Below are 27,167 nucleotides of genomic sequence, written 5' to 3'. Positions count from 1 at the left end.
GATGGAGACCACCCCGGCCAACCTGGTGAAACCCCATCTCTACTAAAAATACAAAAATTAGCCCGGCATGGTGGTGGGCGCCAGTAATCCCAGCTACTCGGGAGGCTGAGGTAGGAGAATAGCTTGAACCCAGGAGGCAGAGGTTGCAGTGAGCCAAGAACGTGCTACTGCACTCCAGGCTGGCAACAGAGCGAGACTCCGTCTCAAAAAAAAAAAAAAAAAAACTCAGGAGTTCGAGGCCAGCCAGGGCAACACAACAAAACCCCGTCTCTACAAAAACGCAAAAACCAGCCAGACATGGCAGTGTACACCTGTAGTCCCAGCTACTTTGGAGCACTGCTTGACCCAGGAGGTCAAGGCATTGGTGAGCCTAGCCTGGGCAACAGACTCAAATAAAAAAAAAAAAGATAATGAAAAAGACAATGAATTGTATGTAATTACTTAAGGCTGTAATGCCCATCTTAATAGGAGACTTTTTCCCTTGCTCGCTTTGAAGACACAAGCTGCTATGCTGTAAGCCAACCTATAGAGAGGGCCACAAGCAAGCAACTTAAGGAGGTCTCTGACTGACATCAGGAAACTGAGGCCCTTACTCCAACAACCCAAAAGTAAATGAATGATACAAACTAACACATGAGCTTGGAAGCAGACCCTTCCCCAGTAGAGCCCCAAATGTGAACCCAACCCTGGCCACCATCTTCAGTGCAACCTTGAAGAGGATCCAGCTGGCCATGCCCAGACTCTTAAACCACAGAAACTATTAGCTAATAAATATATATAGTTCTAAACTACTAAGTTTGTGTTACTATTGTATGTAAAAACAGAAAACAAACTCTAAAATGAAGATTAATATGTATTTATTTTACCTCTTTTAATAACAGGATTTTAGATTATAGGATCACATAAGCATATTTTTAATATTTTACAAGGTTCAATTTTTAAAAAGCAATAACAGCTTTCCTGCTCAAGATAGCAGACTAGCCATATCCCCATTCATCTTTTCTTCCTCCTACAAGACTGACTAAAAAGAAAATACACACACACACACACACCAACAACCACAACAACAATCACAACCACCACCACCAAAAAAAAAAAGGAAAGTGAGTATGACCAGACACTGTTGTTTGTTAAGCCAAGTGCCATTCCCACATTGCCCATTCCCCTCCTTCCTTTCTCATAGAACCTTAATTCTGTTCAGTATTTTGAGACCCTGTACTTTACAGGCGAAGATTCTCTCAGCCCCAGGGAGTTACATATTCACTAGTCTAGGTATGTACTTCTCAGACACTAAGTACAATCAGGTCAGCTGAAAAACCTTGTTTAAATGCCAACTACAGTTGAGCAGGTGCCAGGATATCTAACTGCCAAAGAGGCAAAGGTCTACAGATAGTCTATGTATAGCAACCTTAATCACATACAATTAAACATACACAGTGAATGGTTTTCAAATAAGCATGAGATGAAGGAATTCTTTTTATTTTTATTTTTTAAATAGAGATGGGGTCTGGCTATATTACTCAGCCTGCTCTCAAACTCCTGGGCTCAAGCGATCCTCCCACCTCACCCTCCCAAAGTGCTAGGATCACAGGCGTGAGCCACCATGCCCAGCTGAGATGAATGAATTCTTTCTTCTGGGAAGGTTTTATTTGACTTTAAAAACAAAACACAGGCCAGGCTCAGTGGCTCACGCCCATAATCCCAGCACTTTGGGAGGCGGAGGCAGGCGGATCACAAGGTCAGGAGATCAAGACCATCCTGGCTAACATGGTGAAACCCCATCTCTACTAAAAATATAAAAAATTAGCCAGGCGTGGTGGCAGGCGCCTGTAGTCCCAGCTACTCAGGAGGCTGAGGCAGGAGAAATGGCGTGAATCCGGGAGGCGGAGGTTGCAGTGAGCCAAGATTGTGCCACTGCACACCAGCCTGGGTGACAGGGCAGGACTCCGTCTCAAAAAAAAAAAAAAACCAAGGAAGGAATGGCCTCCTGCAGACTCTGGATGTTCTTTAATGAGAATTTGATACCTACAATTGCTATAACCACTTGAGACCAGAAAAACAGCGGATACTTAATTAACGTGGAGGAGAAAAAAGATGAAAATAACCTGGATCTTTGCTGGATTCATCAAACTGCTAGATTAACCACCTTTAACTATAATACCTTCAGATTCGTTACATGAAGTAGTTTCTTAACGTTTAAGTAAATTTTAGACAGGATTTCTATTTACAGCTGAAAACATCCCAACATGATAAGGGACCCGGCAAGAAATTTTAACAAATGTCTGAAAGGGGATGCACAGCTGATAAAGCCAAGAAGAGGAAGCCTAGAGAACCTAAGGGAGCTATAAATGAAATACCAAACTGCTCTGTAGACCTCAAAAAGACCAGAAATTCAGAAAACGTAGGCTCACATGAAATGCATGCAGGGCTAAAACAGGGAAATTACTCAATCTCTATATCAACCACAGTAATTCAACGAGATAAAATGCTAAATAGTATGGCATTTTCCTTCCAAGGCAAAAAACTGAAGGGTTAATCTACAAAAAAATAAAAAATAGCTTAGGAAAACTAGTACAGCTATTATGGATGAATGCTGGTTTCTCAGAGCAATGAATACTGAGAAATGTAGAGGTCCCCAAAGCAATGGGCAGTTCCTGACTTGCTAATTCCAAAATAAAATTCTTAACTCCTGCAGGGGCAGTGGCTCACGCCTGTAATCCCAGCACTTTGGGAGGCTGAGGTGGGTGGATCACCTGAGGTCAGGAGTTCGAGACCAGCCTGGCCAATATGGTGAAACCCAGTCTCTACTAAAAATACAAAAATTAGCCGGGCGTGGTGGCATATGCCTGTAGTCCCAGCTACTCAGGAGGCTGAGGCAGAAGAATGGCTTGAACCCGGGAGGCGAAAGTTGCAGTGAGCCGAGGTCGTGCCACTGCGACAGAGCAAGACTCTGTCTCAAAAACAACAACAACAACAACAACAAAACTCTTAACTCCTACCCACATAAACAGAGTTCCCAGTTAGCTTTTTATTCATTTATTATTTACTCTTAAAATGCGCAGACAATAGTTGATCATGAAAGACCCATCATAAACTGGAAAACTACCAGGAGAAAGGGTAAGTAAGGGTGGGGAGTAACAACAGAGATGGGAGAATGGTTACATGCAGGAAGACTAATCAAACTGTAAATATTTGAAGGATAATGGAAGCCAAGTTTCTCCATGTCAGAGAAAGGAGTTACAAGCATATATGGAAAAAGCTACTTTCAATCCTGTGATACTGATTTGTAATAAGCAGTATCAGCATGAACTTAACAGTTTTCAATACGTAACATGGAGAAATAAACAGATATATGTATACATGTATGTATACACAGATACACATATATTCAACACACACACACACACACATGCACATACACCCTAGCTCTGTCCAACTAATGGACCTGAAACCAGCAACATCCCAATGGTAATGAGAAAACCAAATGCCACGACTTCATAAATACCACCTACTACTAAAAGGAATCAGGACTCTTTAGGAAAATGGCCAATTCCAAGGCTAAGCAGGAAAAGTATAAGATTAGCCTGGAACATTTTGTTGTGCCAGAAAGTAAGGAAGTTATCAAAAAAAATGAAATGGTATCAAACTGACCCACAGAAGTGATATCAAAAGGGTTCTTACTGGCCAAATCAGGACATTTTGAGCATCAAAATAATGAAATTAAAAGAATATACCCCATCGAATAAAATAAGCCATGAGTCCATACAGATTACAAATCAATGTTAATTTCTTAAATGTTATGGTTGTATTGTGATATGGTCCTGGTTTGTTAAAAATACACACTAAAATACTTGGATGAAAGATATCAGTCAGGAAAAAAATGATTTGTACTATACATCTAACATTTCTACAACTTCATGATTATTTCAAAATTAAAAAGTTAAAATACACACACAAATGTATATCCTCAAGAGATGTAAAGTTTCTAAAAGAACAGAATGCTATAAAATAAGAAGTGAGAAAATTAAAAAGTTTTTAAAGTTTATGTCTTCCAAAGTATCTTACTGTTTTTTGAAGAGGCAGAGATAAATCCAAGAAAATGTTCCAAAACAGGTAAAACAAAGGCACAAAGAAAAAGATGAAAATAAGGAAAAGGCCCAATCAATCCAACATCCAATTAACAGAAATTCAAGGAGAAAAAAACGGGGAATTAACCATGAAATAATACAAGAAAATAATCCTAAAACAATCTTCAAATGGAAACAGGTCTGTGAGAATCCAATGAAATGAACAAATTTTAAAACGTATTCATATTCGGTGCAATTTCATAATAACAATAAACGATCCTAGAAAGCTCTCTGACAGGAAATAAAAATTTCATCTACAAAAGATTGAGAATCATCTTGGAACACTTCTCATTGGCAATACTGGATTCTAGAAAAAGAAAAATTAAAAGTCACTGAAGTATTGAAGGAAAATTAATTGCATACTCTGCCAAATCAGCAGGCAAGCATAGGATATAACATTTTCACACATGCAACAATAAAGAAAATTAACTCTCACATATGAAATTACATAATGTTATCCAGCAAAATTAAAATATGAACCAAAACAGAGGAAGACATGAAATCCAAGAAATTGTGGCACCAACCTCAGAATAAAATAAGTACTAAATTTGCAGCTGCGCAAAATTAAAATATGAACCAAAACAGAGGAAGACATGAAATCCAAGAAATAGTGGCACCAACCTCAGAATAAAATAAGTACTAAATTTGCAGCTGCGCAACAAATCTAAGGAACAAACAGTCTATACTAAACGGGAGACAAAAAGTTCTAGGAGGTATCTGAGAGAAAAGCAGCATGGGGCACAAACTGTAAAACTGTATGCTATCCTTACAAATCTGGAACTCAGAGACAAGAAAGTCAGTTAAGGACAAAAAACTAAAGATGATTAGAAACTTTTGGAAAGGCAAAGAACTGTAAAATGCTCAAAATATAATTGTCCGGGTGCAGTTGCAGCTCACACCTGTAATCCCAACACTTTGGGAGGTTGAGGTGGGTGGATCTCTTGAGCCCAGGAGTTCAAGACCAGCCTGGGCAACATGGCAACCCCCATCTCTACAAAAATACCAAAAAAATGTAGTCAGGAGTAATGATAACGCACCTACAGTCCCAACTACTGGGGAAGCTGAAGTGAGAGGATGGCTTGAGTGAGAGAATGGCTTGAGTCCAGAAGGTGGAGGCTGCAATGAGCAGAGATCGCACCACTGCACTCCAGCCTGGGCAACAGATCAAGACAGGAAGGACAGAAAGGAAAGGAAAAAGGGAAGGCGACAGGGAAGGAGAAGGGGAAGGGGAAGGGGAAGGGGAGGGAAGGGAAGGGAAAGGAAAGGAAAGGAAAGGAAAGGAAAAAGGGAACGGGAACAGGAAAAGGGAAAGGAAGGGAAAAAAGGAAGGGAAGGAAAGGAAAAAAGAAAAGGAAAAGGAAAGGAAAGGAAAAAGGGGAAAGCAAAAAGGGGAAAGGAAAAATATAATCATATGTACTACTTGGCTTCACAGTAAAAAAAAAACACGACATGGTCATAATAATGTGAAAGTAATTATTTTAACTTTGACAATCAAATTATCGTACAGCAAAACAAAAGGACTAAATTATGGTTGTAGAACAAAATAGAAATGTTAACAGCCTTGATATTATAAAGGATAATAATTCCGAAAAAGAATTGAGAGAGGGAGGTTCGTAAAGGAAAGAGTAAAGGGATGAATATCATTATCATACAAAGTGCTAAGTCCACAAATACACTATTAGTTGCTAGAAAAAGAAATAAAAGTATAAACCCTTACTATGTTCAGATAAAGAGAAAACATGAGATTATAAATAAGCAAGCTAAATATTTTCAAGTTAAAAATAAACCAAAATCAACAACAGAAACTAATTATTTAGAAAGATGAAAGCCAAAACATTAAAACAGATAGATTTAGACAGTGGTTTCCCTATGGAGAATGAGAATAGAAGCAGAGAACAATGAGGCAAGGAAATAGTGTTTGTAAGTCATTTAGTATTTTTTATATTTGTATATCACGTGCAGGAATTACTTTGACAAGATTTTTAAGCAGTAAATATTAAAGTGGTTTGTTCAATATTACAGCAAAAATGTTTATAGCACCACATAACTGCATACATCTGTGATAATTAAGAAGTTCATTGACTCAAAGAAAATCTATTTTATTTCCCTTAGAGAAAATGCCATATGGTAAATAGGGTTAAATTCCCTGCTCTTTTAAACTTATTCATAATTAAGTTTGTAATATTAAACTGCAAAAAGTGAAAGACAAAGAGGAAAGAAAATCGTAAAACAAAGGTTATCAAAGAAGCAACATTCAGACTAATGGGTGACTTAGCAACAACGATGGGAGCCAGAAGGAAGCAGATTAGTATCTTAAATGTGTGGAAAGAAAATACCTACAAATCTTAAACTCTCTACACCCAAGAAAATATCCTTTAAAAAAGAAGAAAAAATAAGGACACTTCTGACAAGCCAGAAGTGGGACTTTGCTACACAAAAAGAAAACTCTGATGGATGTTCTCTGAGAACAGCAAAGGAAAGGAAAAAGATTAAATATGAAGTATCAGCAATGTAGAAAAGAAAGGAAAAACAAAAGAAGTGGTAAGTATACAGGTATAAAAACACCAAATGAATAAAAACAGTAACATCATATAGGAAATTAAAAATACAGAAAAATTAAAATAACAGAACCAGTAACAAAGTTGGGAGTTAAAATTGTTCCAAGATCCTTGTATGGTATAAGAGAGTAAAGTTATTAACATCAGGTTTTTATAAGTTGAGAATGCATGTAGTGATCACTAAAATAACAGAAAAAGCATAAAAACGCCAAAAATTGTGGGGAGAAAGAACAAACAAATTTTTAAAATACTCAACTGGCAGTTTCAGCTCCAACAAGTAAAAAGCTTTAAAGTCATCACTCCCACCCTTACAAGAAAAAGGCTAAACCAACTGAAAATCATTTAATTTCCTTGGACCCATTAGAAAATTGAGGACACAGAGCAAACTACCACCTAAAGATACAGACAGGAGGCAGGTAAAGCCAGAGAGTCACGGACGAGATCTATTTATTACCTAGAGTAGAAGCTGCTGGAGCCATAAATTAGCAGGAACACTAGTAGTCTCCTACAGCAGTTGTAACAAACCATCACAAAGTGGGTAGCTTGAAAGAAATTTATTCTCCTCTTTCGGGAGGCGAGAGGGCAAAATCAAGGTATCAGCAGGGTTAGTTCTTTCTGGAGACTCTGAAGAATCACTCCATGCCCCTATCTGGCTTCTGGTGGCTGCCAGCAATTTTTAGTGTTCCTTTGCTTACGTAACTCCAACCTCTACCTCCATCTTGACGTGACTGTTCCACTGTTACGTCTCCATCTCAAATCTCACCCTCTCCTTACTCTTTTCCAAGGACACCAATCATTCAATTTATTAAGAATTTCTTCATCTCGAAATCCTTAATCACACCTGAAAAGACTATTTCTCTCTCTCTTTTTGACGCAAAGCCTTACTCTGTCACCCAGGCTGGAGTGCAATGGAGTAATTTCGGCTCACTGCAGCCTCCACCTCCCAGGTTCAAGTGATCCTCCCACCTCAATCTCCTGAGTAGCTGGGACTATAGGGGTGCACCACCATGCATGGCTAATTTTTTGAAATTTTTTTGTAGAGACATGGTCTCATTATACTGCCCAGACTTGTCTCGAACTCCTTGGCTCAAGTGATCCTCCAATTTGGCCTCCCAAAGTACTCAGATTACAACAGGCGTGAGCCACCATGCCCAGCCAACTATTTCTAAATAATGTAACATTTACACGTATGAAGGGCTAAGACTCAGACATACCTTTTTTGAGGATAAAAATTCAATCCAGTACAAACACTTAAATGGTAATTTTGATGACTTGCTGGAGGCTGACTGTGGAATAGCATGAAAGTGGGAAACTCCTAGGAGAATGCTGTCCTATGGGGGAGTCCCCACACTATTGTGGGTTTTATGGTACTGCCAGATTCTCACAGTAAAGAGCCAAGAAGGATCCCCTTATAGTTCTGGCAAGGAGGAAAAGAAAAGTAACCACTGCGAAATACAACCTGAGTATTCTCTGTAACAAAGGCCTACACTCCAAGGGAAAGACTGTCAGGGGCTGTATACCACCTAGGAATGGGAATTTCCCTGATTTAAGTCCACTCCACAGCTCCAGGACATCGATCCACTAAAAAACAGAGATTTAATAATTAAGATTATAATAGTATATTTCCCCTTTCCCACATGCTACCACCATATCAATGAGGCTCCAGTATTTACAGCTGAAAAAGCTGCAAGATACAGATTCTATCTGAGAAAGAGTTCTTAGGGAAACCCAAAGAAAGCAAGGAAGACAAAAACAAAGACACTACAGGAATGTGAACCCCCTGGCACCTACAGCTAGAGCAAATATTAAACACAATCCAACTCCTAGGCAGATAAATATAAATCCTCACACTAACGATTTAACTACCGCAGTTCCTATTACCTAATATGACATATCCAGCCTTCAAAAAATTTCAAGTCATGCTAAGAAGGCAAGAAAAAGCAAGTCTAAAGAGACAAAGCAAGCATCTGAACCCGACTCAGATACAACACATTTTTTTTAGTTATCTGACAGGAAATTTAAAATAACTATGATTAATATGCTAAGGGTGATAACATAAAAAGCAGACAACATGTAAGAAAAAAATGGATATGGTAAGCACATAGAATCTCTAGAAAAGAAACAGAAGGAAAAGCTGGAAATCAAAAACACTGTAACAAATAATCGACAACACTGATGCATTCATCAGTAGACTATACATAGCCAAGGAAAGAATCAGTAAGCTTGAAGAGAGGTCAAAAGAAATTTTCCAAACTGAAATGCAAAGAGAAAAAGAATTATAAAAAACAAAAAAATCCCAGGACAGAACATCCAAGAACTGTGAAAAACTTCAAGAGGTATAAACACACGTAATTGGAATTCCAGAAGATGGGGAAACAGAGCAGAATATATGAAATAATAATGGCTAAGAATTTTCCAAAAATAATAAGGTACACCAAACCACACATCCGGAAAACTAAGAGAACAAAATTAGGATACAAACAAAAAAAACTACACCTAGATGTATCACATTTAATGGAAGAAAATCAAAGGCAGAGAAAATCTTTAAAGAAACCATCACAAAATATCACCCTACCTATTGAGGAACAAGGATAAGAATTACAGCAGGCTTCTCATCAGAAAACATGAAGGCAAGAAAGGATGGAATAAAATATTTAAAGCATTGGAAAAAAAAAAAACACCAACCTAGAAATCTGTATCTAGTAAAATTATCCTTAAAAGGGAAAGAGAAATAAAGACTTTTTCAAACAAAAACAAGAATTCATTGCCAACAGACCCAACACAAAAGACATGTTAAAGGAAGTTCTTCAGAGAAAATGAAAATTATACAGGTCAGAAACTCAAATCAATATGAAGAAGAAGCATAGAAGGAATAAATGAAGATAAAACAAAATACATTTTTTATTCTTAATTGATCTAAAAGATAACTGCTTAAAAGTCATAATAGTAACAATGTATTGCATGATTATAGCATATGAATAGATGAAATTAATCAATGTCTTAAGGGACAAGAGGAATAAGGAATACTCTATGGTACCAGCACTACACATGAAGTGTTGCAGTGTTATTTAAAGCTGAATTTAACATTAGTTATAAATGTATACTGCAAACTCTAGGGCAAGCACTAAAAATAAAAATTAAGTATAATTGAATGTTAAAAGAGGACATAAAATGGAATCATATAAAACACTCAAAGAAAACAGAAAAATGGAAAAAAAATAATGCAACCAAAAACTGTTATTTGAAAACATCAATAAAATCAATAAATCTCTAGAAAGAATGACCAAGGGGAAAAACAGAAGGCCCAGATTACTTATATCAGGAATAAAAGACAGAGTATCTCTACAGACCTTACATTTATTAAAACAATAAGGAAAAAGCATAAACAAGAATGTACACACAGAGGCCAGGCACAGTAGCTCACACCTGTAATCCCAGGCGGGAGGATAACCTGAGGCCAGGAGTTCAAGGCCAGCCTGGGCAACATAGCAAGATGCTATCTCTACAAAAAATAACAACAGGTGTGTGGGGCAGCACCTATAGTCCTAGCTACTTGGGAGCCTAACGGGGGAGGATCACTTGAACCCAGGAGTTTGAGGTTGCAGTGAGCTACAATCACACATTTGCACTCCAGCCTGGGAAACAGAGCAAGACCCTGTCTCAAAAAAAAAAAAAAAAAAAAAAAGATTACAGGTGTGAGCCACCAAACCCAGCCTTCCATGTACCAAAAAGGCACCATCTTTGAACTTTCCTCACTAGACACCAAATTTGCCAGTGCCTAGATGCTGGACTTTCCAGCCTGTGAGCAATAAATTTCTGTTGTTCATAAATTACCTAGTCTAAGGTATTTTGTCATAGCAGCTTGAAGGGATTATGATAGAAATTAGTAACAAAACTGTGTAGAGAGGAGAAATTTCTAAACTTAAAGTAAAACGGTCAAAGTTTCAAAGTAACTAAACTGGAAACAGACAGTAAATACTTGCAACAAACAACACAATGAATTAAAAGCATTTATAAGAACCAAAAAAAGGAAATCTCGACTGAAAACAGGTAAAAGAAAGTAAAGTACATTACTTAAAATGAAGTACAGCAAACTCTAAGAACTTAATCCTTACCTAAAAAGAAAAAAGTTTTGCTTAACTTGGTTCTGTTTGGGGGTGCTGGTGAGGTATTCTTTTAATGGGTTTACTAGTTGTTAATAACTTTTTTAAAAAAAATCAGTATTTAAACAAAAAGGATATCTGAAGATCAAGCTTAAAAATCTTAAAATCCATAATTTTTTTAAATTATTACATGCAAAAATATTGGTGGCAATATTATAAAAGATTTTCTACTAGTCTGCTTTAATAAATATGCATTATTTTGACAATAAAAAATCACTTCAAAAAAATAAACAATTTACACAAATTCCAAATAGGCATAAGTTGTATGGGCATTGACTACAGAATGTTTACTTTTAATTCTGGTCAACACAATACAGATAAATATCACAATGGCATCTAACTGAGTCTGTCAAATTAACCTTCTCTATATTATATCACTGATCACAGTATACTATTGAGTGTTAACCTTTATTATAGCAGATGACAAAATATTAAAAATTACACAAAAATTAACAAAAATATATTTCAGTATAAGATAAAAAATTACAAGCTTTACTCTCAAAGTAGTAGGAATATGATGAAAATACTTTAATGGTTCCACTTATTTCCTGATTTTATATATATTACACACACACACACACACACACACACACACACATACACACACACATATCAGGAAGAAAGAAATATATGTATTTACTTTTTATTCCCAGGGCTAAGTATTTCTTACCACAAACAAAAAGGCTTTACCATAAATTATTCCCAGAACGAAATATTTATTCTTTACCATAAATAGAGAAACGCAAAACTGATTAGCATTGCTTAATGTCATTAACTAATAACATTTCATTATTTAAGTCCTCTAAAGTTAGGTACCAGATCCATTAGTCAAAATACTACTAATAAAAAGCACAATATCATCCTAAAGTCCTTTTAATTATATATTAGAAATTCCGTCATTTATTTTCTCAAGCTTGTTAAATATGGAATGATAAGCAGCATTTCTTACATGTTTTTCAACAGAGATAAGTAAATCTAGTCATTCTTAAGATAGTGAACAAACTGCACACAAAACCCACCCTTCCTCTTTGTACTTCAAATAGCATACAAAGGTTTGCATAGTACAATACACTCTTAGCACATATCCAAAGAGAAAAAGAGAAGGAAATTTGATATAAGGAAATTTTTACACAGTATTATATTCTTCCTAATGTTACTAAATTAGAATAAGTGACAGATATCCACCAAAAAAACTTAATCAAAGTTTAAAAAACAAAAAAGATTTTTATCTCAAAGACTGATTACCTGAGACAGTTCTAAAAACAAAGAAATTACCACGTACATGTGATTAATCACTTGTCCTAAAATAATAAATCTTAAAAACAAAAAACATACAAAAATCTAAAGAGCAAACAAGTTGGAAAATTCAATTAAATATTATCATTCTTCATCTTCCCACTATTAACTTCAAGAAAACACTAGAAATTATTTTTAAGCATGTTTCAAGCAGATCAAAAAAAATACCATATGAATAGCCATCATAAAGTTTTATAGAACTCACCAAAAAACAACTCTAGGAAAACTTTTGGGTATGTAAGTAAAAGACCAATGTGTAACAGTTAAAATTTGTTAAAAGTCTCTTAAGAGGCCAGGCATAGTGGCTCATGCCTGTAAACCCAGCACTTTGGGAGGCCCAGGTAAGAGGACTGCTTGAAGCCCAAGAGTTTAAGACCAGCCTGGGCAATATGGCAAGACCCTATGTCTACAGTTTTTGTTTATTTTTTTAAATTAGCCAGGTGCGATGGCACATGCCTTAGTCCCAGCTACTCAGGAGACTAAGGTGGAAGGATTACTTGACCCCAGGAGGTCAAGGTTGCTGTGAACTATGATAGTACCACTATACTCCAGCCTAGGCGACAGAGCAAGACCCTGTTCCTTTAAAAAAAAAAAAAAAAAAAAAAAGTCTCTTTAGAGAAAATAGTTACTCAAACGAATACCAATCCACAGTTTTTAGAAGATAAATATTTAAATTTCTTTATTTTTTAAACCACACTAGGAGAGTCTGAAGGTCATATTACTTGCTCTGTTTAACTCAACAATCTTCCTTCTCAAAATGTTTTAAGATATAATTAAGAGGACGAGTTTTAAAATGAGAACAATGAAAGTTTGATTCTGTCTCCTCCACATCTTACCTCTGACTTGGACAAGTAACAATCCCTCTAACTTCATTTCCTGAACCTGAAGAATGGGAAGACTAATGTTTTACCTCATATTCTTGTGGGGAACCGAATGCTCCGTACATTCAGCCTAGCATAGTAAGAATTCCCTAAATGCTAGTAACTAAGTATCAACTGAAAATGAATTTTAAAATTACCAAAAAATGGGAAGTTGCTATGTAAGAACTTCCCTCAGTTTCCAAACAGACCTTTATTTTTTAAAAAACTAGTCGAGTGCAGCCGGGCACGGTGGCTCATGCCTGTAATCCCAGCACTTTGGGAGGCCGAGGCGGGCAGATCACCTGAGGTCAGGAGTTCGAAACCAGCCTGGCCAACATGGTGAAACCCCATCTCTACTAAAAAAATAATAATACAAAAATTAGTCAGGCGTGGTAGCAGGTGCCTGTAATCCCAGCTACTCAGGAGGCTGAGGCAAGAGAATCGCTTGAACCCAGGAGGTGGAGGTTGCAGTGAGCCGAGATCATGCCATTGCACTCCAGCCTGGGGGACAAGAGCGAGACTTCTCAAAAAAAAAAAAAAAAAAAAAAACTAGTTGAGTGCAGTAATGAAAAGCAGGGAAGAGTAGAAAAAAGTTCAATCTGTAACTGACTAAGCAATCGAGATAACTCACTACCTGAGGACCAACCTAAAGATTTTTAAAACATAATTAAGTTATATAGACAACTACAAGAACTTGTAAGAACAGCAGCAGTAAGAATCATTAAAAATTCAGAAGTAATCACTTGAGTTTCTCCATGGTTCTAAGCATCCACCCAAAATAAACACGTACAAAAAACAAAAACCTAAATTATTAATTTTTTTTTTAAGAAAGACTCACTCAGTTGCACAGGCTGGAGTGCAATGGCACAATCATGGCTCGCTGTAGCCTCGACCTTCCAGGCTCAAGTAATGCTCTCACCTCAGCCTCCCAAGTAGCTGGGACTACAGGGGTATGCCACCACACCTGGCTATCTCTTTTTTTTTTTTTTTGGAGAGATGGAGTCTTGCTTTGTTGCCCATGCCGGTCTCAAACTACTAGTCTCAAGCAATCCTCCTGCCTCAGTAAATTCTTATAATCAAAAAATATTGAGCACTTGAAATGTGGCTAGTCCAAACTGAAATGTTATATAAATGTAAAATATACATCAGATGTCAAGATTTCTTTCATATATAAGAAAAAATGTAAGCTATCTCATTAATAACTTTTTATACTGAATACATTATGAAATAATGTACTTTCTTTAAACCAACATACATTCAAAATATTATTAAAATTAATTTCACATGTTCCTTTTTAAATGTAGCTACTAGAAAATTTAAAATTACACATATGTAACAACTCAGTATGTCTCAAAGTATATGTATACTTGCTTCACAACACCTACCTTAAAGATTTTATAATTTTACAGTTCAAACATTAAGTTATTTTGAACAAACTCTTTAAGCTAAAAATTAAGCCTTTATGCCTAAATGTGTTTAACATGTTAAATTGGAGACTCATACAGAAATGTCTCTCTCTGCCAAACTTTCCCTTTATTTATACACACGGAGTAGGTAATCAGCAGATTCACCTGACAAGATGCTTAACATCACTGATTATTGATTCTCTATTAAAGGGACTTAAGAGCTTCAATGAACCACACAGAAAGAATTAAAGAGTTTATTTCTTAAAAAAAAAAAAAAAAAAAGGATCTCATCCATTATCTTGAAACAGTAATTTCATTAGGCAACATCCTATTAGTCTGTTTTAGGTGGATATATTTCAATATATTTAAATTTTGTATTGTTAGGTTGGCCCTCTCTACCCAATTACTCCAAATTAAAGTATTACTGAATCAGACTTAGTGGATACATAGCAGGCTCCTAATTTTCTGCTAGTCAATACAAGTGTTAAATTTTGTAAATACAATAAAATAAGTGATATGGTCTCCAGCATCAATGAGCTCAGATCAAGTAAGGTCATTTACACACTAAGAGAATAACAAAGAAGTTTTGTTTTGTTTGTTTGTTTGTTTGTTTGTTTTGAGACAGAGTCTCGCTCTGTCACCCAGGCTGGAGTGCAGTGGCGCGATCTCAGCTCACTGCAAGCTCCACCTCCCGGGTTCATGCCATTCTCCTGCCTCAGCCTCCCGAGCAGCTGGGACTACAGGCGCCCGCCACCATGCCCGGCTAATTTTTTGTATTTTTAGTAGAGACGGGGTTTCTCCGTGTTAGCCAGGATGGTCTCGATCTCCTGACCTTGTGATCTGTCCGCCTCGGCCTCCCAAAGTGCTGGGATTACAGGCGTGAGCCACCGCGCCTGGCCAAGAAGTTTTTATTTAAGTTTTAAACTATGAAGTTGTAAGCATAAGTTCAACTGCATTTTGTAATATATAATCCATATAGGAATTTAGAATAATTTTGTGAGAAAAAAGGGCTAACTTGAGATTTGAAACACAGCCTTTTATTTCCATTTGACACGCATTCTGAAAATTTAACAAATTTATTTTCATCATTAAAAAAATTGTTTTGATCTGCTTCCTAAAATATGTTTGTTAAGAATGGCCAAATTAGTAGGTAAGTAAAAATGAATTCTTCCTCTTAAATGGCTGTGCACAAATGCCCACACATACACCAAAACAGTCAGGCAAAATACTCATCAGACTGCAACCTGCTACAGCACAACAGGAATTTTTAATTAAAGTTAAATGCAAAACTTGGATCTCAGGAGAACGTACTTCTAAATAAACCAAAAGTTGTTTCTAACACAAAGAATGAGAAAATCCCTAGAGAATAGTATATACATTTAAAAGACCAACTTTAAATGTCCCCCAAAAACACTCTAACCAAGACTATGTAGTCTCAATTTTACAAATACAGTATATGAGCTTCTACATTTACAATCCAAAACACTGTGGCCCTTTATTATTACAATAATCGTGATAAATGCTCCAGGAATGACATTTTTAAAGTCAGTCTAGATGTTAGGTAAATTTCCAGACTCTTCATTATTGGAACACTGATAGGACAGTAAGAAGGATAAGACAGTTTTAATATTTCAGGTAAAAGTACACATCTGAAAGGATCAGCTCAAGAGAAGGCTTACTTCATTCTAAAGACTCTTTGCCAGAAGTGGAGGAAAAAATACCTTAACTACTGCCAGTACTCAGTATATCATCACTGGTCAAACTAATGAGAGATGAATAAATCCCATTTCCTTCAGTGCAGGAATCTATATTCTAATATTCCATATGCTTCTCCTACTACATTTTAACATTTCTGACACTGACCCTATACTCTCTCTCTCGTTTATTTTTCTAATGGATTCACATACTAACTTTCATTGTTATTATGTTGTCTTATTCCTATCACATAAGCCATCCCAACACATTCATGACATTCATCAAAAACTGGAGGGAGGGAGAGGCAGAAGCATTTATGTCAGAACCCAGGGGTTGTGAGAAGTTTAAAACAAAAATGTGATTCTAATAATATGCCCAATCCTTAACACTTGTAAACTACTCAAGGCACCAAAACTTTTATTTATCCTAAACCCCCAAGCATTTAACATGACATTAATCACATTCCTCACATTAAGGAAAATACTGATTGATTAAACTCTCACCAGCAGCTTCTTTGCTTGATGATGTGACCTTGTGACAGGCCCTTTTTCTTAATATTGGTGTTAACTGTAACTATCACCACACTTAAAAGTGCAGTTATGCATCACTTAACAATGGGGATGCATCTTAGGAAATGTGTCATTAGGCAATTTGGTCCATGTGTGAACATCATAGAGTGTACTTAAACCTAGATGGTACAGCCCACTACATGCCTAAGCTATAGGGTATAGCCTATTGCTCCTAGGCTACAAAACTGTACAGCATGCTATTGTACTCAATACTGTAGGCAACTGTAACACAATGGTTAAGTATCTGTATATTTAAACATAAAAAAGGTATAGTAAAAATACAGTATAAGTAATAAAAATGGTACACCTACATAGGGTGTACCTACCATGAATAGAGATTACAGGACTGGAAATGGCACTGGGTGAGTCAGTGAGTGGTGAGCAAATGTGAAGGCCTAGGACATTAGTATACACTACTATAGATTTTATAAACACCATACACTAAAGCTAACTACATTTTTTTATTTCTTTCTTTCTAATTTTCTTTCAAAATTAACCTTAGCTTACTATAACTTTTTACTTTATAAATTTTTTAACTTTTTTGTAATAACATTTAGTTTACAACACCAACACATTGTATAGTTGTACAAAAATATTTTCTTTCCTTATATTCATATTCTATAAGCTTTTTTCCATTTAAAAATTCTTTCTTTTTTAATCCTTTTTCTTATAAGACACAAACACACATTAGCCTAGGCCTGCAAAGATCAGGATCATCAATATCACTGTCTTCCATCTCCATATTTCATCCCACTGGTGAAAAACGTGCATAGGGCTGTCATCACCTACGATAACAATGCCTTTTTCTGGAATACCCCCTGAAGGACCTGCCTGAGGATGTTTTACAGTTAACTTCTTTTAATAAGTAGAAGATGTACTCTGTAAAATAACAATTAAAAAACATAGTAAATACATAAGCCAGTAACACAGCCATTTATTATCAATATATGTACTACATATAAATGTATGTACATGCTATACTTTTATACAACTGGTAGTGCGGGTTTGTTGACACCAGCATCATCACAAACACAGTGAGTAACGCGTTGCACTACTATAGTGTGGGATGGCTACAACTCACTAGGGAAGAGGAATTTTCTAGCTTCATTATAATCTTAGGGGACCACCACCCTATGTGTGGTTTATTATTGACCAAAACATTCCTAAGGGGCTCATGATTGCATTCTACTAGAAACCCCTAATGATTACAGTCACTCCCTTGGAATTATCTGGACGCTGAATCATCAAAAAGAACCTAAGCTAAGAGGCACTAATAAGGCACTAAAACAGATACTGGAATCCAGGCTCCCATGCTAGTCATCTCTTTTGCAAATGAGTTGAGAAACTGAACAAGATCATGATGGGAAGTTTAACAAGCTACATAATATTTGAAAGATTATAAAATACAAGTCTACTGGAGCCACTGGAAAGGACAGGTTCTAGGAAAGAAAAAATCGATAACAATACCTGACACTGGAACAACATCTTAAGCCAGTATCAATTTAGAATAGTGAATTGTTTTAAAAGCATTGTTTATTCTAGGATAAAAGCACCTTTAAGTGCAAACAATTAGTAAATATGCTTTCAGTAAATCAAATAGGGTTCAGTGAAAATGGTCAGGAAGAGTGTAGAACATCTAGGAAGCTGAGACCTTCAGAAACAAAAACCAAAACATAACAAAAAAAAAAAAAAGAGGTAATATCAAGTTTAGTCCAAAGAAAACATTTAGGAGCCCAGAAGGAAAATGCCTACTTCATTTGTGGTTAAAACCAAGGTTATGATTCAAAAATGAGTACAGCATGGTCTCAGGTTAGTGAAGTCCCAATAAAATTTTATCTGTTTAAGAGACATAATAAATGTCTCTACTGTGAGCTACTGTCTAAAGATCTACCTAACGTAAGCCAAAATAAACAAAAGCTGGGAGGAGTATGAGGGAGTATTGCCAAAGACAGGTACACATTACCAAAAAAAAATTTAAAAAGCAACAACAAAAAAGGTCTTTCTAATAACTAGCCAACCACCACTTCAGTGAAACCAAGAGACTGATAATTACTAATACTTTCAAGTTTCTTCTGCCTTACTTGGTCATTTATTATATTTGCAGTTATAACTGCTTAACACCCTGAAGGATTGTGTACTTGTTTCTGAAACAGAAGGATATGCTGAGGTTTTGTAATCTGCTTCACATTGGGTATGAAAGGAAAAGGAACCTAGGTGAAAAAGAGACAGGAGCAAAAAAAAAAAAAAAAAACAGGCACATCAAATCCCTGGGACCAAATAAACAGAAGGGGTGGCAATCTATACCCAGGGAATATCCTGCAGCACTTAGAGAGAAGATCCCATTCACCCCAGTAATTCTGGACTACTCATACCACACTTACAGATTCAGCTACTAATGTAGACTACTAATGTAGTCCCAGGACAGAAAATACATAAGCTTAGGGGCTCAGTGTCTTGTTATTACCTCTTGGTTCATCCTAAGTAATTCCAATAACTAAGCTCACTTTTGTTCCTGCAAATACCCACCTTGTATTTCTCCAATAAGAAATCTGGACCCTGTCTCATTTTGTTTCCCTGTGGCTAGGTTTTCAAGGCCTACTGCCAGACCCCATTTCCTCCCTTTTCCCCCAAGATGCCAGTCTGAATCTCTACCTAGTGCCTGCTACCAGCCACCATACCACTCCCAAAGGCCTGTTCCACATACATGTACACGCTGCACTTTGCCAAACATATCCCTGATGCTGACAAGCTGACTGTAGGCACATATAGACCTCCATCCAGATTTCTTAAACTACTGTTCTGTCGCCTCCCCCATCTAGAAAGACTGACTGCCTGACTGCTGAGATAATTTGGTCCCCAAATCCTGCTTGTGTTAAATCTGAATAGCAGTCAGATATCAAATGCTACAACTAAGCAGTAACAGCTCCATCATAATAATTACCCAATTTACCTAAATTTCAATCACATCTTACTAGTTTTTATTTGCTCTTTCTTTTCTGAACATAAAATCTGAAAACTTTCAGATCTTTCACAACTTGCTTCATCAGTTTACCTAAGAAACAGGTCTGCAGCTCCACCCAATTCTCACCCAAATGAATAATCATTATACTTCTTTCTCTACCTATCTGCAAGCCCTTGACACAATTACAATTTTTTATATACATTAAAGTAAGCATTTTTATCGTTCAAAATATATTTAATAACAGGGGAAGATATTCTCTGACAGGATTCTCTGACAGATCTGAATTATGAATAAATAAAAATGAAGCACTTTGAGTTTTCTATTTATTTTAAATGTTTTAAAAATTAGATTTTAGTTAATATGATGTCATTTTAGTTTGCAAATCCCTCAATTAGAAAGATACACGCTGGGCAAGGTGGCTCACGCCTATAATCCCAGTACTTTGGAAGGCTGAGGGGGGCAGATTACAAGGTCAGGAGATCGAGACCATCCTGGCTAACACGGTGAAACCCCATCTCCACTAAAAACACAAAAAATTAGCCAGGCATGGTGGCACGTGCCTGTAGTCCCAGCTACTCGGGAAGCTGAGGCAGGAGACTTGCTTGAACCCGGGAGGCGGAGGTTGCAGTGAGCCGAGATCGCGCCACTGCACTCCAGCCTGGGCGACAGAGCAAGACTCCATCTCAAAAAAAAAAAAAAAAGACAAAAAAAACAAAGCAAACTTCCGGCTCATTTCTACAGGAAACTATAAAATATTATAAATGTGAATTTTCAGCCTTAATGTGATTTTACAAAATTTAAACTACTCAAATTTTGAAACCTCAAAAAATATCTGATGAGTACTTAAATAAGGAAAAGAATTATTACTTTTGCCAGTGATTCAACTTTGAAACAAAAATTTCCTAATATTGTTTTTTCATGCTCTGTAGTTTAATTGAAGTAAATCCTGATACAGAAAGGTGAACCATTAGCATGCAATTTCCATTTGCAACTACTTATCTGTATGAATCAAGATTTTATCCAGGCCAGGTACAGTGGTGCAGCTGTAATCCCAGCACTTTGGGAGGCCAAAGCAGGTGAACTGCTTGAGGCCAAGAGTTTGAGACTAGCCTGGGCAAGACAGGGAGAGCCTGTATCTACAAAAAAATTTTAAACTAGGCCAGAGGTGGTAGTGTGCACCTGTAGCCCTGGCTACTTGGGAAGCAGAGGCAAGAGTTTGAGGCTGCAGTGAGCTATGATCATGCCACTGAACTCCAACCTGGGTAACAGAGCAAGACCTTGTCTCTAAAAATAAGTAAATAAATAACATATAAATAAAAATTTTTAAAATATTTTCTCCAAACAGTACAACAAAGTAACATAAAGAAATCACTCTATTATAGAAGTGCATATATCATCTAAACCAACCACAAATTTGTCTATTAAAACCACCACGAGGCCAGGTGCAGTGGCTCACGCCTGTAATCCCAGCACTTTGGGAGGCCAAAGCGGGCAGATCACATGAGGTCAGGAGTTCGAGACCAGCCTGACCAACATGGTGAAACCCTGTCTCTACTAAAAATGCAAAAATTAGCTGGGCATGGTGGCACACACCTGTAATCCCAGCTACTGAGGAGGATGAGACAAGAGAATCCCTTGAACCCAGGAGGCGGAGGTTGCGGTGAGCCGAGATCGCACCACAGCACTCCAGCTTGGGCAACAGAGCAAAACTCCATCAAAAAAACAAACAAACAAACAAAAAAACACCACCACATGACTGATATGTTTTATATACGAGAGCCTATAAAATAAACTAAAAAGTTCACCGCCTTATCTAAAATTATTAAAGAGAAATTCTGCCCTTAGAAGTCTGCTTACTCTTCCAAAAATAAAAATTCACAAATATTCCTTTTTTGTGCTCTAGAAATGCTCTGACACTTTGTGCCATTTGCTTTCTGCCTAATTCTGCTCCAAAATGCCGATCTGTATTTTTGGAATAAGAAAAATAAGCACTGCCTATCTGTCTCCCTAGAGCTCTTCCCAAATTCTTTCACACAGAATACCTCAAACTTCTCAATAGGCATTTTATCACATTTAACAAATGTAGACACTAAAAACATAAACTTCAAATAAGTCTACTAGTAGTCATCCCACTTAAGAGTTTTTCCTAAGCAACTAAAGCTCTTACCAATAATGGACTTTCGCACAGTACATCCAACATTGAAAAAAGTATCTATGTGGTTTCTGTAAGGTTATATCACATAAAATTCAATTTCTGCCTTAGTGCAAAATCATCTCATCCCTCTGGTCCTTTATTTAAAGAAAATATCCTACTTCTAACAAAGGTCAAAAATTGAGATTTTTTTTTTCCCAAGTTGGTACAAGAATTAGGGAAATCATTTGAAAATGAAAATCACCACCGCCAGCACTGGCAGTGTTCTAAGCACTTTACAAGTAGTAACTCATTCAATCCTCCTAACAACCTATGAGGTTGATATTTTATTCCATTTATAGATTGAGAAACTGAAGCACAGAGAAGTAATGTGCTCAGTCACACAGCCAGTAGGTAGAAGAGAATTTGACCTCAAGTAGTCTCTGTCCAGAGCCCATGCTTTTAACTCTCTAGCTGTACCACCTAAACTTAAGAACCACCATTTAATAGGCATCCAAATTATCTTACACACAAAAAAAATTTCAGATTTTTTCATTTTGTGACAAATTAGATAAAATATCATGTAAATATTTTAGGCTGCATCTAAAATCATAAGAAAAAAGGATGGCTGGTAAAACCAAATAAATGAGATTTATATTAAAGAGCAAACTCCCTTTAAGTGAACTTGGGAATTTTATTATTACATGACCAATAAACTTAAAGAATATATATATTGATATGGAAATGTTTCACAAACACTTTACAAAAACTTAACCACAAATGCCCTCAGTAACATACCTTCAAAACACATTCTAAGTAGTCGAGAGTATACCAACATTGATATCCAAGTCTATATGAAAACTCACCTAAACAGAACACAACAAATAAATCACAAAGAAAAAGCCTCTGGACAATCAAAATAGGTATTCCAATGTCCAAGTATTGGTACACATTTACTTTTCTCCAGAGACGACCTCACACACTAAGTAACGGCCTACTGATTTTTCCCCTATGCAGAATCACAAACCTGAATATGATTTCCACACTTCTAAAAAAAAATTAGAAAAGGAAAGATGATGGGGGACACTAATCAGTTACAAGCACATCCAAAAGCAAAGCAAAAAAAAAAAGTATTTAAATAATTTCAAAATGCGAACAAATATTATTTAGAATTTAGCTCAAAAGCCCTATATGCAAAACAAGACTGCATCCCCAGGTCATCCAAAGTAGTTTAATTTTATTCTGCATCCCATTTAAGACAGAAAAGAACTGTGTAATTAACTTTAGTATTATCTTAATCCAAAGCAGTTAAAGTGATTTTATAATTTCATACTTAAAAGAATATGCCCACAATTGCCCTGCAAGCTCAACTAATCAATTATAAAATAATTCATTTGAAAATTCCAAATAGCAAATGTTTTATTTCACTGTTTTTGAGCTCAAGAGCACTTTTGAGTATGAAAGTTACCTGAAAGGAGGGAGGTGGAGAAGGGAACATAAAATTAGAAAAGTCTAAGAAAACAGAGGATAGCTAGGCGAGTGTCTATAAACAATATGCTCAAAACATCCCCCACAAAGCAAAGTGTGGACAGAGGGTGCCACATCAGCAGTAGTCTGTATTCGTCCTGCTTCTAAATCATTTGTTAATTACATGAATTATTCATTTCGGTGATCGTTTGTTGATATGAAGCAGTACCAACTCTCAACTGCAAAAAGTGATAGGGTCCTCCTGATTTGCTCTACAAAAATCAAACTTGGGTTTACTCTTACAGAACACGTTCTGCCTTATAGAGACACAGGGTGTTTTGTTTTTTGTAAGCTATTCTTAAGTTGCTTTTAATTTTTAAAGGATTGAGGGAGTTAGTTTAATGCCTAGCCCACACCGAACTTTGTTATCAAAAGAAATTGTTACACCACTTAACAAAACTCCTTTTCAACCCGGACTGCCACACATTCTGCCTTCTCTAACTTCAAACAAAACTATAAAGCACATAGTAAATAACATATAAGGCCTTGTATTTTTCTCTCCTCCGGCAAGGAAGTCTAACTCCAAACAGGAAACTGCTCCTCAAAGGATCCAACACTGAAGTCCAAACCCAGTCCTCGGGAGCACACTGAATGCTTAGGTGCCAACACACTTGCCTAGGTAGAACCCGAGTAAAACAAATACTCAAGCTTTCCTGTCCTTGAGGCACCCCTTGCGAGTTTCAGCAGGAAAAAAAAAAAGTTTTTGAACAAATTTATCTCTCTCCTTAAACGTATTCAAAGCCTCGCAGAAAATAAAGAAGTTGAAAGTGCTACTTTATCAAGTTTTTCGATCGCCCTCCCCCATCCCACGAGGAGGGGGAGGGAAGCAAGGGGATGAGGAAGGGAAGGAAGGTCAGGTCTGATTTTAGCTGGGCAAGGGGTTAGCAGAGGTGGCCAGGCGCCCCCGCCCCCCATCCCGCACCTTTCTGGTGAACAGGAAAAGAGGCGGAGAAGGGAGAGCGAGGGAAAGCACCCGCGAGCTCTCCCACCAGTTTCTCCGTGAGAAGAGCAAGGTGGAAGGCAGGGCAAGAAGGGGCGGTGGGGAGAATGGAGAGGGTGGGGTGCTGCCGCTCAGGGGCTGACCGCAGTCGCCTCCCCAGAAGGCCGAGAAAGGGCACAGCCTCCCCGGGTCTGGAAGGTCCGGACGGGCGGCGGGAAGCGCCCGAGTCTCTTACCCATGCTGGGGGCTCCCGCGGGGAGAAGCCGACGTCCGCTCCTCCTCCTCCTCCTCCAGTGGTGGCTCGCGCGGCCGCTCCCGCGGCTGGAGGCGGGACCCGCGCTCCGCGCTAGCCCCTCCTGAGCTCAGGCGGGGCGAAGAGTCGCCTCCATCCGCCCGCGGCGCTCTCCTACCAGTCTCTTCAGCGCGGCCCTCGAGGCAGAGGCAAAGGCGGCGACAGCTCCTCACCCCTGGCCTCCCCAGGAGCCACGGCGGCGGGAGGGCCCTACCCCGCCCGCCCGACCGCGGTTTTCCCACCCTGGCCGCTCCCGCAGTGGGGAGGGACCCACCGGTTTGCCCAGACCCTCGGCTCCAACCCCGAGCGCCCGCCTAGCCTCGGAGCCCGCCCCTCGCCTCTTCCTTAGCACTCGCAGTTAGAAAAGGCGACACCGTAGACTAAGGTGGGGACCCAGACAGAGGCCGAGAAGGTGCGGGGAGCTGGGACCGGGAGGAGGCAAATCTCGCGAGAACGCCCTCGTTCTCCCCGCCCCACCCCGCCCCGTCGCGTTCGGGCTCTCTCCCGGTCCCCACGGCTGCTGCCAGGTGCGGTGACGTCACGGCCGGGGGTCGCGCGCCGACCGCGTCCAGGTGCAGCGAGCGGATGAGGAAGCGGTGCAGAGGAGCTTGGGCTCGCTCTCCCCCCGGAGGCTCGGAACAGCTTGGGCGGGCGTTTGGTCTGGTTTGTCGCCTCAGATGGATCAAAAGGTTTCTGCTGATAGGCAAAGTTGCCCCACTTTCCGCGGCGGCGACGCGGAGTTACTTTCTGCAGCGAAGCAGCCTCGAGGACCTTAAAGGGAAAAGGCGGACAGAAGGAGGGCGAGCGCACTTGATTTCGACCTTTAAGGGAGGCCCAGATGCTGCCAGGCCCCTCAGTTTACCTTGCGAAGTTACTTACGGATCAGCAGCATTTGGTCTTCGTCGGGTGAGGGAGAAACCTAGGCATCAAATAAATTCTGTTTCACAGATTCCTTTAGTCTCTTGTCAGCTGAATGCAACTTTATAATTTGCTTTTTTTCTTTTTAAAGTATAATTTGAGTTGTTACTTGATCGAGAGAAAAATAGGCATCATGATTTGAAATACTGCCAGGCATTTTTTCTAGCGTCAATGTGAAGGAGGGCATAGGATTACTATAGTCAGTCAAACATGAGCTTGGTAGTTACGAAGAAGTATAATTATTTCAGCAAGCTTTTTTTCCCCCTTCTGTTTAAGTAGACCCAATTCCAGGGCAGATGTGTGTGTGAGCGTTTGTTGAACGCCAACTATTGTGCCTAGTGCTTTTTCAAGAAATTTTGTAATTCTCAGTCATCCAGCACTGAAACTGACTTGCCCTTTGGATCCAGGCAGACATGGGTCCTTGAAACTCAGCACAGCCATTTACTTTTTGTGGGACCTTGGATAAATTAACCTGTCTGAACTTCAATTTCTTGAGTATGTTCAAACAAATCTTGCAATGCAGAGCACAGTGGCCCATAGTAGTAACCTTGGACGTATCCATTACCACTATTTCCTATAGGCCTGCTTTTGCCATCTTTTAATTCTTCTAATGCTTCTCAAAAGGTTACATGTGGTAATTTTATAACAAGAATGATCAAACTCACAAACAGCAGCCAAAAAGGATAAAAGAAAAAAGTTGAATATACTCACCTAAACAAGATTACATTGACATCATGGAACATGTGCCTTTTTTAGGTAACAAATATGTGTTCAGCATTATGTTCGTTGTCCCCTACCAAGCAAAAAAATAAAAAGCTAAAGTACAGCGCTAATCCTCAGAGATTTTGCATTCTTCTAGGGGGGTGAGATACGAACACAAAGTTAATTAACAGTATGAGGTAGTGAGGGTCAAATGCTTGAGAATTTAAAGGAAAATAAATTACTGTGGGCAAAGCAAGCTGTAAAGAGAAGGTATGAGTTGAACGAAAGCTTGGGGAAGGCAATAATTCAGTCTGGAGGAGTCCTAGAACTGAGGAATGGAAGTGGATATGCAAACAGAGTATTTCTGAGCCTTTAAGAAATGTGTGTGGCTCAAGCAGCCCATAAGGAAGGCCATTTACGATTTGGAAGAATGAGGCTGGTGATGGGCTAAGAAGGATTCATGAAAGGAGACAAAAATATAAGCTATTGGAAGCACATACATAGGTAGTAAATTCAAGGCCCAGAGCCCTTAAGTTTCTAGAGACTAAATTTCTAGGTCTCTAGAATCCTTAATATTTAAAGAAGAAAGGCCAATGAATAGAATGGAAAAGAAGTTAAGTAAAACAGAAGGGGGAATAAAGACTATCAGATTTGATAATAAGGGCATCTTTGAAAATATAATTTCAGAATATATATAATAGAATATATAATATATAACTACATATTCAGAATATATATATAATAGAAAATTCAGATTAAAGGTTTTATCAATTGAATGATAAGGAAGTGGAGGCCACAGATAAGGTAGATATTTTCTGAGAAGTCAGGTCACATGATCTGACAACAAGATAAAACATTTACAATCATTTATGTCCTAGAAATTCCAGGATCTTCACACTTGTAATCCCAGCAATTTGGGAGGCCAAGGGAGGAGGAGCACTTGAACCCAGGAGTTTGAGACCAGCCTGGGCAACATAGCAAGACTCCATCTCTACAAAAAAAAAAAAAAAAAAAATACAAA

General features: G+C 38.1%; 1 protein-coding gene and 1 long non-coding RNA gene across 4 annotated transcripts in view, besides 5 other annotated features; one reads left to right on the top strand and one right to left on the bottom strand.

The window, feature by feature from the left end:
- CD2AP (CD2 associated protein) overlaps window positions 1-24,929 on the bottom strand; it is a 149,475-nt gene extending 124,546 nt beyond the window's left edge. For all 3 annotated transcript variants that reach the window (NM_012120.3, XM_005248976.2, XM_017010641.2), the window contains exon 1: window positions 24,470-24,929. In NM_012120.3, coding sequence (NP_036252.1) covers window positions 24,470-24,473 — 4 coding nt within the window. In that variant the 5' untranslated portion in view covers window positions 24,474-24,929. The remainder of the gene's footprint in view (window positions 1-24,469) is intronic.
- Window positions 1,407-1,614: a silencer, noted in NCBI's record as "fragment chr6:47468840-47469047 (GRCh37/hg19 assembly coordinates)". NCBI's record gives its function as "represses an EF-1alpha promoter that drives an FKBP-Casp9 reporter gene in an ReSE screen in K562 erythroleukemia cells {active_cell/tissue: K562}" and the evidence as "EXISTENCE:reporter gene assay evidence [ECO:0000049][PMID:32094911]".
- Window positions 4,816-5,384: an enhancer, noted in NCBI's record as "H3K27ac-H3K4me1 hESC enhancer chr6:47465070-47465638 (GRCh37/hg19 assembly coordinates)". NCBI's record gives its function as "activates a minimal SCP1, AML or CMV promoter by ChIP-STARR-seq in primed H9 embryonic stem cells {active_cell/tissue: H9 hESC(primed)}" and the evidence as "EXISTENCE:reporter gene assay evidence [ECO:0000049][PMID:30033119]".
- Window positions 5,385-5,954: an enhancer, noted in NCBI's record as "H3K27ac-H3K4me1 hESC enhancer chr6:47464500-47465069 (GRCh37/hg19 assembly coordinates)". NCBI's record gives its function as "activates a minimal SCP1, AML or CMV promoter by ChIP-STARR-seq in primed H9 embryonic stem cells {active_cell/tissue: H9 hESC(primed)}" and the evidence as "EXISTENCE:reporter gene assay evidence [ECO:0000049][PMID:30033119]".
- Window positions 23,645-24,371: an enhancer, noted in NCBI's record as "NANOG-H3K27ac-H3K4me1 hESC enhancer chr6:47446083-47446809 (GRCh37/hg19 assembly coordinates)". NCBI's record gives its function as "activates a minimal SCP1, AML or CMV promoter by ChIP-STARR-seq in naive H9 embryonic stem cells {active_cell/tissue: H9 hESC(naive)}" and the evidence as "EXISTENCE:reporter gene assay evidence [ECO:0000049][PMID:30033119]".
- On the top strand, window positions 24,646-25,475 carry CD2AP-DT (CD2AP divergent transcript). The gene has a single exon (NR_187257.1). It is a non-coding gene; the product is annotated as a CD2AP divergent transcript (long non-coding RNA).
- Window positions 24,658-25,167: a silencer, noted in NCBI's record as "silent region_17275". NCBI's record gives its function as "represses an Ori minimal core promoter by ATAC-STARR-seq in GM12878 lymphoblastoid cells {active_cell/tissue: GM12878}" and the evidence as "EXISTENCE:reporter gene assay evidence [ECO:0000049][PMID:35858748]".

Source organism: Homo sapiens, chromosome 6 (genome assembly GCF_000001405.40).
Source record: "Homo sapiens chromosome 6, GRCh38.p14 Primary Assembly".
NCBI classification, from domain to species: domain Eukaryota; kingdom Metazoa; phylum Chordata; class Mammalia; order Primates; family Hominidae; genus Homo; species Homo sapiens.
The sequence above is the reverse complement of the archived record's forward strand: the minus strand, read 5'-3'. Positions and strand labels throughout refer to the sequence as shown.